At 53.5% G+C, this 10,377-nt stretch overlaps 1 protein-coding gene and 1 long non-coding RNA gene across 2 annotated transcripts, besides 1 other annotated feature; one reads left to right on the top strand and one right to left on the bottom strand.

Annotated features, from left to right (window-relative positions):
- Positions 4,218 to 4,756: an enhancer, noted in NCBI's record as "H3K4me1 hESC enhancer chr14:95234013-95234551 (GRCh37/hg19 assembly coordinates)". NCBI's record gives its function as "activates a minimal SCP1, AML or CMV promoter by ChIP-STARR-seq in primed H9 embryonic stem cells {active_cell/tissue: H9 hESC(primed)}" and the evidence as "EXISTENCE:reporter gene assay evidence [ECO:0000049][PMID:30033119]".
- Positions 4,765 to 6,655, bottom strand: GSC (goosecoid homeobox). The gene is made up of 3 exons (NM_173849.3): positions 6,203 to 6,655; positions 5,500 to 5,759; positions 4,765 to 5,191 (listed from the first exon to the last, which is right to left on the bottom strand). The coding sequence occupies exons 1-3, from the start codon at positions 6,555 to 6,557 to the stop codon at positions 5,033 to 5,035; spliced, it is 774 nt and encodes a 257-aa protein (NP_776248.1). The 5' UTR covers positions 6,558 to 6,655; the 3' UTR covers positions 4,765 to 5,032.
- Positions 7,184 to 10,149, top strand: GSC-DT (GSC divergent transcript). The gene is made up of 2 exons (NR_144432.1): positions 7,184 to 7,982; positions 8,723 to 10,149. It is a non-coding gene; the product is annotated as a GSC divergent transcript (long non-coding RNA).

The following is a 10,377-nucleotide window of genomic DNA, read 5'->3' on the forward strand; positions in this document are numbered from 1 at the left end:
GCTCCTAAACCAACAACAATTAAAAACAAGGTGCATTCCTCAATTCCTAATTCCAGTCTACTTATGCAGGATGTTATCCAACCGATCTGAAAGTGTTTTTCAAAACCTACAATGATAAATGTGTCAGACACTCTGCTGGGTTCTTTACTTCCATAATCCCTAATCCTCTACCCAAGCCCATTTTGCAGGTGAGGAAGGAATCTGATAGACTCAGAGCTGAAGGAACCTGTCCCAGGTCACTCGGTGAGTATGTGACCCCATCCACACGGACGCTTGGCCCAGTGTGGTTCTAAAGGCCAGCCACCAGCTGTCCACTCACCACAACATGTTGCCCTAGCCTCCCCAAGGTCGGAAGTCTGCATCTGCACTCCTGTTTTTTACTTAAGGAGGTGTGTAGTAAACTTGGGGGACCTGAGGTACAGACCTTGGGGTCAGAAGGCCAGCACAGCAAGGTATATTTGGGTACAAGGGTCTTGGTGTCTAAACTATTTTACTTGAGTCACTTAAAACCTCATACAACTCAGAAAAAGAGCTCCCTGTCACCCCTACCTCCTGGCTCCCATTGCCCTCCCCTCACCAACACACACACACAAAGAAATGAAAGAAGAATCTGCCCACTTCAGTCTCACATATACACATTGAAATGATGTCCTTTACGCCAGGCATGATGGCTCACGCCTGTAATCCCAGCACTTTGGGAGGCCGAAGTGGATGGATCACCTGAGGTCAGGAGTTCAAGACCAGCCTGGCCAGCATGGCGAAGCCCCGTCTCTACTAAAAATACAAAAAAATTAGCTGGGCACGGTGGTGTATGCCTGTAGTCCTAGCTACTCAGGTGGCTGAGACACAAGAATCACTTGAATCCAGGAGGCGGAGGTTGCAGTGAGCTGAGATCGCACCACTGCATTCTAGCCTGGGCAACGGAGTGAGAGTCTGTCTCAAAAAAAAAAGAAAAAAAAAAAAGATGTCCTTTACACGAGGGTTAAAACCCTTAGGTCAAAGTTCCAATGTCAGTAAAACAACTTGATTAAAGAACTGTAATTCAAATACACTTTCTGTGGATGCTCTTTGTAAAGCAATTGTTTTCATGACCTTCCCCCAGCCAGTGCCCAGCAGACTGCTAACAGCAGCTACAATGCACCCTCCATGGGGGCTCTCAGAACCTCAGATTCCCCATTTCTTCCCGCACACCCTGCACTTTTCCTCTTACTCTTCTGCTCCTTCCAGCCAGGGTCCCCCTTGGCCCAGATGACCTGAGACACCTGGAAGCCATTACCTCATACCTCTCCACCATCTTAAGAGGTGTGTGGGAAGTCCGCCGAGGTTCGGGGTCCAGGGCTTATGATTTCTTCCCGGCAAAGCTTTGAGTCTCTCTGAGCCTCCATCTTCCATGTGCAAACTAGGCTGCATTCTGCCTCCTGAGGGCCTGAGATGCGTGCGGAAGGGCTTTGCAGTGAAAAGTGCTAGACTCATATTAGGGGTTACAATTGTCCTAACTGTTCTTTGCTAGACTGTGTCTGGCACTTTGTGAGATTCAAGTTTACATCCCCCAGGGGCAACTGCTTTCACTCCTGTGGCCATTTGCTGTAGGTGAACTTTTATATAGGGTTTATGGGTTTATATTGCCACCCAAAAGAACAGCCCAGATTCTGTGAGGCAGCCTGATTTATAGCAATCACAAAAGCTAGTCCCTTGCCGACCACAGTTGGAAACCCCTTTGTGTTAGCTTTGTGCCTCAGTTTACTCAACTATGAAATGGGCAAAACACCTTTGTGGTCTGGCAGCAGGGGTTCAGATTGGAAATAACTAAAGCAAAGTCACCTGGCTTACACATTGCCCACTTTAACACGTATACACACTACCTATCAGCACCATAACCCAAATTCCCACTGAAGAAAACTACTAAGGCCCACAGCTCAGCCAATGGGGGCTCTCGAAGCCGAAGTACCTTTTGCTCCGTGACCCCATCCAGCCCTTCCTAACACGGACAGCCAAGCTGACAGAGGTTTGAGCCCCATGGCCGTCTGGGAAGGTGGGTGGGGGGACTATAATTAGACCATCCTGGCAGTTCTCTCTTCACTCCAGATATGTTTATTTCCTATGAACGGGGCCAATCCTGAAACACTTCACAGGGGATTCTGATGAGGAGATGTGGATAGTGAAGGAGCTTTCTCCTGCCACCTTGCACCTGCCCCGGGCCAAGACAGGAGAGCTCTCTGGCTCTTGGACCACTCTTCCCTCCATTCACCACAGCTTTTCACCAAACACTAATAGGGGACAAAGATCTATCCCTCCTCAATTCCCCTGCCCCTGTCACTTGCTATAGACCTCTTTCCAGACTAGATAAATGCAGATTTTTAGAAAAATGAACAATCATCTTTTATTGAGGGCCTGAGGGCAAGTCATGTGCAAAGAGACACACAGGAGTTTATAAATAGTCCTGCAGAGGTCAAATTTCTCTGGGTGGGGCCGGGCCCTGTGGCTCATGCCTGTAATCTCAGCATTTGGGGAGGCTGAGGCTGGTGGATCACTTGAGGTCAGGAGTTCGAGACCAGCCTGGCCAACATGGTAAAACCCTGTCTCTACTAAAAATACAAAAAAATTGGCCAGGCATGGTGGCTCATGCCTGTAATCCCAGCCACTTGGGAGGCTGAGATGGGAGAATACTTGAACCTGGGAGGTGGAGGTTGCAGTGAGCCGAGATTGCACCACTGCACACCAGCCTGGGCAACGGATCGAGGCTCCGACTCAAAAAAAATAAAAATAAATTCTCTGGGTGGAATGACATTGCCTGCTCTGCCTTACATTAGAATGTTCCAGATGTCCCTGCAGGCTCATTCCAATGGCACAGAGGACACCATCCAAGAACATCAACTATTGGGAAGCAGAGGGTGCAAGCCAGGCAAGGTCCTCCCACCCTGAAATTCTAAGCAGGAGGTACATTAATAGCCATTGCAAAATTCATTTGAAATTAACATAAAGGCTTCTTTGCATATTTCTCATAAGAACTGTTAATGAAAACATTTCCAATTATGGTACAAGACTCACTTGGGCAAAGATGATGTCTCCTCTTTATTTCTTACAAGCTATAGGTTGTTAAAGCATTTAACCTTTCAGAACCTTAATTTCCTCATCTGTAAAATGGTGAAAACATTCCCCTACTCTTAAGAGTTCTTGAAAGGTAAAATAAGATAATGTATATAAATCCTGAAGTATTGGGTCTGACACAATATAAATCATAATATTAAAAAAAAAAGTTGTGTTGAAGGATTCCCTTATGCCAGGTGCCATTCTATGTAAGCTGGGGCCTTTAACGTCCACAGCCACCCTGGGAAACAGACACTATGACCATGCCTATTTTAGTTACGGAAGGCGAGGGGTCATAGGGGTTAAGTAACTTGCCCAAGGTCACAAAATGAAGTCTGGATAAGAACCAAGGCAATCTCGCCCCCTGAGGCAGACCCGGCCTCCAAAACACTGCCTCTCTTTTGTCTAGGGATAGCGCTTATTAAAAAGGCGGTAATGGGTGGTCACTCTTATTTCATAGGTATCATTTTGCCAGCTACCCACCATAGGAGTCATTTTTACCTTGCAAATCTGCAAGCTGTGAACAAACACACTGCTTCTTCTAAAGTACTGTTACTTTTCACGTGCTGTGTCCCAAAGCCAGGATGCACAACCTTTCTCTGGAGGGATCTTGCACCAAATACCCGAGGTAGCCCAAGAGAAAGAACAAATCCCTGCAGCCGGCCGTTGCCGGAAGCCAAGCTGGAAAGCTCTCTAAGCCTTAGCTTTAAGTCTATAAAATGGTAAACCGAAGAAAGTTGAAAGCCATTCCTGCTGGCCCTTAGTCTCCACTTTCATCCCCACGACGGCCTGGGAAACCATACAGAGGGCAGGCTCTTGTCTTCATCCCTGGCCCAGGCGCTCATGCGCACCGGGGGCCTTCTCCAATCGTTCATAAACTGCTCACCAGCGCTCTGGGCGCGTTCCCGGGAGCTCCCTTCTCCGCCCAGCTGGTGCAGAGGAAAGACAGTCTGGGGAAGAAGCAGGAGGTGTCGGTACTGCCACCTAGAAGTGACCCCACCAGCGGTGCGCTCTTAGACAAGACTGGCCTTGAGTGCATCACGTGCGGCCCTGGTCACTCCAGATGCCCAGGGAGCAGCACCTGGTCCCGGTCAGCCCTAGGGCGCACAGCTCAGAAATGCCAGAGCAGAAACGCTTGCCCTGGGGGAAGAGGCAACTCGCATGTGGAGCTGGGCAGCTGGAGCATCTGTGGAAGTTCCAGGAAAGCGCTGGGGGAGGTGGCATGCCCGCTGCCTAATTCCCCCGTGGACCCGCCGCCTTAGGTTTCTCAGAAGCAGGGCTGAGCAGCTTGGAGCAGTGGGCTCCGTGGGAGCTCCCGGACTCCCCTAGCTCCCACCTCATCAGTGAGGGAAGAAGTGCTCCTTCTGCCCTCGGCAGAGGGGAGTCAGGGACCCAGGCTGCCCCTCTCAACTGCAATGGTACCTCCTCCCGGCTCTGGCCCAGCAATGCTACTCTCCAAACCTTCCTAGACATAAGGTTTCCTTTTAAACCAGGACACCCATGCTGTGACTGTTACCCAGAGCTTCATTTCTTGTTTGTTTGTTTGTTTAGGTAGATCATAGCTGCTCAGTTTTTTCCTCCGGAGGTTACGGACTACATAGACTTCTTTTCTTGGCTCCAGACTGATGGTGGTGGGTGGGTGGGGCGGGGGGTATGAAATACAGAATGTGGCCCGTCTACATCGCCATCACTTTATTGTACTGTCACCCTTAATTTAACTATAAATACTACGGTGGGGGCTAGTCGCGGGCGGCCTCGGGCTGCTGGGCTGTGCGCGCCCTGACCCCAGACGCCGACCCTCCCGGCTCTGTACACTATTTACAGCTCCTCGTTCCTCTTTCTCGACCCCCTCCCGCAAGGCAGCGCGTGTGCAAGAAAGTAGCATCGTCTGTCTGTGCAAGTCCTTCGAGTTAGGTAAGTAATACGGGCAAGTGTCCCGCGGCCGTCAGCTGTCCGAGTCCAAATCGCTTTTACCTTCCTCTTCCCTCTTCTCCGGTGACGCCTTCGACGACGACGTCTTGTTCCACTTCTCCGCGTTCTCCGACTCCTCTGATGAGGACCGCTTCTGCCGCCTCCATTTGGCGCGGCGGTTCTTAAACCAGACCTGTTGCGCAACGGAGGACAAAACAGTTCAGATCAAAGGCGCGCTTCCCCCAGTCCCGGGGCACCCGGGGAGCTTGGTGTGGCGGCGGGACACCCCGCGCAGGCCAACAAAAGGAGGGGAGCCGCTCGCTCCCGCTTCCGCGTTTTCATTCAACTTCCTGGGCCTAAAGCGCCCTCCAGCAGCCTGCGGGCCGCCATCGGGATGTTTTTAAAGTGCGGGGAGAGCCAAGCAGGGCTGGGCAAACCCGACTGGGGCCCCACCTCGCGGGGAAGGACCGCTAGGCGCCCACGGCAGGCCCCGGCGCCTACCTCCACTTTCTCCTCGCGGAGGTGCACTTTCCGGGCCAGCTGCTCGCGCGTGCCCACGTCCGGGTACTTGGTCTCCTGGAAGAGGTTCTCGAGAGCTTCGAGCTGCTCGTCAGTGAAGATGGTGCGGTGCCGCCGCTTCCGCCGACAGTGCAGCTGGTTGAGAAGCTGCAGCTCGGTGCGCGACAGCGTGCCCACGTTCATGTAGGGCAGCATCTGGTGCGGTACCGGGGACACCAGCACCGAACCGGGGCCCTCGTAGCCTGCGACAGAGTGGGGCGCACGGTCAGCCGCCCGCCCTCGCCACCGCACGCATGCACGCCCGCCAGCCCCCGACCCTCTTCCACTTAGAAGTCGTCTGCAAGGGGATGCTGAGAATTGGGGGTGCACGGGAATCAGGGGTGCAGGGAAAAGGAGGAGGCGTGTTAGAGCATCCATCCGCACACCCGCCAAAGCCAGTAAGAGAATTCAAAACAAAACAAAACAAAACAAAACCCAGTTTCCCCGGGCAGGCACTGAATTCCAGTTTTCGCGAACTCTGGCCAAAAGTTTGCAGCAAGAAGTTTGCAAACTCCTGCGCCCGATCGGCAAAAGCGGAGGGGGGAGTTGCAAGAGGAGCAAAGTTTGAGGAAGGTGAATTAACCAACCGGCTCCATGGGCTAAGGACCGCAGTGGGCGGCAGAGGCCGGAGCGAGCGCGACCCTACCTGGGGGCGTCGGGACGCAGGAGCACTGCTGGGCGCCCAGCGGCGGCACGGCCCCGCAGCAGGCCGGGCCCACGGGCGCCGCCTGCACGTGCAGCTGCCCGTAGAAGTAGTTGTTGTAGCCGAGGCGGGAGCCGCTGACCGCGGCCGGGAGGCCCGCGCCGCCGGGGGCCACGGGGCGCGGGTAGAAGGCGCCATAGTCCGAGGAGGCGCCGCCGCTGGCGCCGTAGAGCGAGTCCCCGTGCAGGGCCGGGAAGACGACGGGAGCCGCCGCGCTGTGCGCCACCGGCAACACCGAGTCCTTGCAGCGCGGCCGGGCGGCTAGGATGTTGTCGATGCTGAACATGCTGGCGGGCATCCCCGAGCCCCGCGTCGGGACCGGGGGGCGGCGGGAACGCGCCGAGGACAGAGCCTTAAAGTGGGGGGGTCCACTCTCCTCCAGCCGCCGACCAAACCGAAAGAGAGCGCCGGCGAGCGCGCAGCCCTGCGCCCCTCCCCGCCCCCTGCGTCCGCTCTCCCTCCTCCCGCCCTCCCCTAGCCGCAGCGTTCGCTGAACTCAACCCGCGGGTAGGACGGAGCTCAGACCAGCTGAACCTCTTGTTGGTTTTATACTGAGTCGACGTCATCCTGGATTTAGTTCCTGGTAATATGCAGATGACAAACAGAACCAGATTTGGCCCTTTCTTTTCCTTTGGGTGGGGGAAGAGGGTTGGGGGGAGGGGGAGAGGTGCCAAGGGGAGGGGGTTACAAGGCCTGAAAAGAGATTGTGGATTGCGAATTAATGAAATTAACCTAATCTTTTCCATTCGGCAGCCGGGCCGCGGGCCGGCCGAGCTGGGCGGGCGGCCTAATTGCCTTGGTTAATCTCATTAATTCCTTTGTGCCGCCGCAGTTAACAACTCCCTCCGCCCGAGCTCTCCACCCCCACCCTTTTTTCTCAGATTGGGTCCTATTATTGGGTGCGATTTCCTCTGCCTGTAGCTCAAATTCATTGTGGACGATTTTACTTTGGGGCTACTTTTTTCCCCCTTTCGGAATTGGTTTTGTTTTAGAAAATGTGAGGGGCTGCATCCCCTCTCAAGCAGGATTGAAAATTCCACCACTCCTCCGCGCCCCCACGTACTCACCGCCTGATTTACCTCTTTTTTAAATCTTGAGTTTCTCTCCCGAATGGAACTTGTTAACCCCCCCAAAAAACTTTTGGTTTTGTAAAATCCAAATTTTGTAAAGGCAAAAACGACTAAAGGAGGGGTGCATCGTGCTTCTTAAAAAGATTTTTTTTTCCAGCCACTCTGGGTCTGAAAACTACCATGGCAGTCCCTAGGTCCTACACAGCGAAGACCAAATTCAGCCGCTCTTTAAAATTCGCCACCAAGAGTTGCAGTCTGAAGCGGTGCTTCTAGCTGCTCCCAGCGTGGGTGTCGGTAGTTTTTGTGCTTTTAAAAAATTAGTTTTGGAAATGTGGTGCCTTCTCTCCCAAACTATTTTTTTGATTTTCAATCCAGATGGGGTCTTTGGGACTTCCCTATCTTCTTCCCCAATAATTGGGTCGCATTTTTCCTTACGACCTGCTGGCTGCCGGTAGGCCTGCCCTTCCGCCTGGCAGGCCCAGAGTGGATTCCCTGGGCCGCAGTGGCCTGGACGATGGCCGGGTCTGATAGCGGCAGGCGGCCGCGATGATTTGCGGGATTCTCGGCATGGCACGGCCAGCCTGCCCGAGCCACGGGAGGCGCAGCCAGCCCACCACTCACGGCAAGCAGGCGGCCGAGCGCCCTTCGAGAAGGTAGGCGACGGTACGCGCGGAACAAAAGCAGTCCCCCAGATCCTGTGGACCGGGTGCAAGCTCCCGGCTTGCAACTCAGGCCACTCCAGGGGAAGGGGCAGTACCCGACCCAGGCGATACCCCCGAGAGCCGGAGAGGGAGATGGGGTTGCGGGAGACCTCGGGTTTCCTGAAGGAAGTCCGCCTTTAACTCACACCTATTTTTCGCGATTTCTCTCAGGCTAATTAACCAAGGGACCCCGCAAAGTTGTCTGAAGTCGCCGCCGTAAGGCTAAGTAAGTGGGCTGCCCACTCCCCGGCTCAGGGGCAAAGGGGAAAGCCCACTTGTCAATTTCTGTTCGGGTTTCAAAGAGCCATTGCACGGAGGTTTAGTCCTGTCCGAGGGCACTACTGTGGCGGCGCGCAGAAGCGGCCCAGTGGAGCCAGGCGGCGACGTTTCTCCTCCTAGGCCTCCCAGCGTGGACCTCTGTGTCCTCACGGCCACCAGCTTGTGGCCTGAGAGTTGCTCCTTCCAGTGCTGCGCAAACTAGAGGTGGTTGTAAATGGGGATTAGGACATGACGGAGATGGGTCTCAATTTGGGGAAGTGAATAGAGTTTTCCTTTTTTTCTTTTTTAACAATAAAAACAAAGAGGGAGTGTGACCCTCCCCTTAGAGAGGTCAGGTCTAGGGTAAGAAGTGAGGCACCTTCCATCTCCCACTGACTAGGATGAAGTCTTTTTTATTGTTGTTCCGTTCTCAGAGACTTAAGTCACCATGCTCCAGGGCAGATACTCCCCCACCAATCTTTCCCAGGTTTAAAGCTACAGGGCAGTTGATGGACGACAACTAGAGGCTGCAACTTATCAGTGACTGCCTGCGTTTGTGTTGGAGGCTGGGTGTGCGCTGCGGTGCGCGTGTGAGTGGATCTTTTAAGACCTTTGTCTGAGCCGGGCAGAGGCACAAGTGCCACCTGACGCTTGGGGCAGATTCCTCGTCCTGTTCTTGCAAAGATGCCAAATCAGGAGAGTGTCAAGATTTCAACCGCAGACCTAAAAAAAGTGTCTCCATGTTTTTAAAAGTATCAGACAACCACCTCCACACACCCCTCCGTCTCCCCTTCCACCTGGAACATTGTTCTTTTTAATAACCAGGTTTAGCAAACTGCTATACTGCGCCTGTGCTTTCCTGCAGCCCTCCGCTGTACCAGCTGAGCCCTGTACAGAATCTGAGCGTCAGAGTTGCAGACCCAACCTTGCCACCTTGCAAATCATCCCTTCTCTGGAGGCCTCAGGATTTTAGTTGATCAAACCAACACCAACATTCATTGGGTCCCTTTGCAACCCTAACATTTAATGAGACTTGGTAATTGTCATCCGTTCGCCAAGGAGGTTGGGGATGAACTTGGGGGCATTTTCTTGTTTATTTTTCATTGAGACAAAGGAGTGTGCTGTCCCCACCTCCGCCCCCAGACAAGGACAGGGTTCCTACATCAGCTGGGTCTAAAATAAGGAAAAGCGAGTGCTGCCGCAGAGGGGACTTTCCGGGAAGGGGGTCACAGGAACCCCAAGGCCACACAGCTCCAGACACTCTGCCGGAGCTCTAGGGGAGCTCACCCCTGCGCGGCGGGACCTCCCCCATCGGGTTGCCCCTTCAATCTGCAGCCGCGCGGAGGCAGGCCCCGGGAAAGGCAGTCGGCGCTCGGTGCTCGCACTGCGCCTCGGCGGGCGGAAACTCACAAGTGTCCTCAACGTGCTAAACAAACCATCAGGGCCCCGCATCGCCTGGCGCAATTGGAATAACAAATGCGACGCACGCAAATTGTCCACCTCGTGTTGCTAAGCGATTGTTTGTCGGCCCCGCACGCACAGCTCAGCATGGGAGGACCGCGAGCGTCCAGAGGCAGCCGGCGAGCGCTTAGGTCGGAAATGCAGTAAACATGCCGCTGATTTTCCCTATTATCACCCAAACACGATTTCACACAAAGCAATCACCACGCAGAAGTCTATGAAAATGTGTTTGTTGAGGAGTCACTCGCCCCAGTAATAGTCCTCATTTTTAAGATATTAAAGAATAGCTCAGCGGATTCCACATGCATAAGGTCTATTTGCCGTTCGGCATCTGTCACGGCGCTTTTGCACTGCGGTCATCACTAAATTGATTCATAGAGTGTAGATTAAATTGCTTCTCTGATTTAAAACAGTGTCCAACTTTGGAGTATGCGTGTGAGTATCTTCTCCCGCCCCAAGGTATTTTTGTCAGGGAGAAAACTGTCGCCCCACTATCCTTACACCCCATTCCGCATAACTGTAAAAAAATAATGCATCTTCGACCCCAACTTCTTACGGTTCGTTTCAGGAACTTTCTTAATTCTCTCCGTCTCCTGCCCGGCCACAGAGCAGAGTTCACAATCGGATG

The sequence above is a fragment of the Homo sapiens genome, chromosome 14 (genome assembly GCF_000001405.40).
Source record: "Homo sapiens chromosome 14, GRCh38.p14 Primary Assembly".
NCBI lineage: Eukaryota > Metazoa > Chordata > Mammalia > Primates > Hominidae > Homo > Homo sapiens.

Bases quoted from the DNA above. Each gene is read 5' to 3' on its own strand.
- GSC (NM_173849.3), bottom strand. From the start codon at position 6,557: ATGCCCGCCAGCATGTTCAGCATCGACAACATCCTAGCCGCCCGGCCG. The intron at 5,760-6,202 runs GTAGGGTCGCGC...ACTCTGTCGCAG, and splicing joins CTGCGTCCCGACGCCCCCAG to GCTACGAGGGCCCCGGTTCG. The intron at 5,192-5,499 runs GTAGGCGCCGGG...GTTGCGCAACAG, and splicing joins TCCGCGAGGAGAAAGTGGAG to GTCTGGTTTAAGAACCGCCG.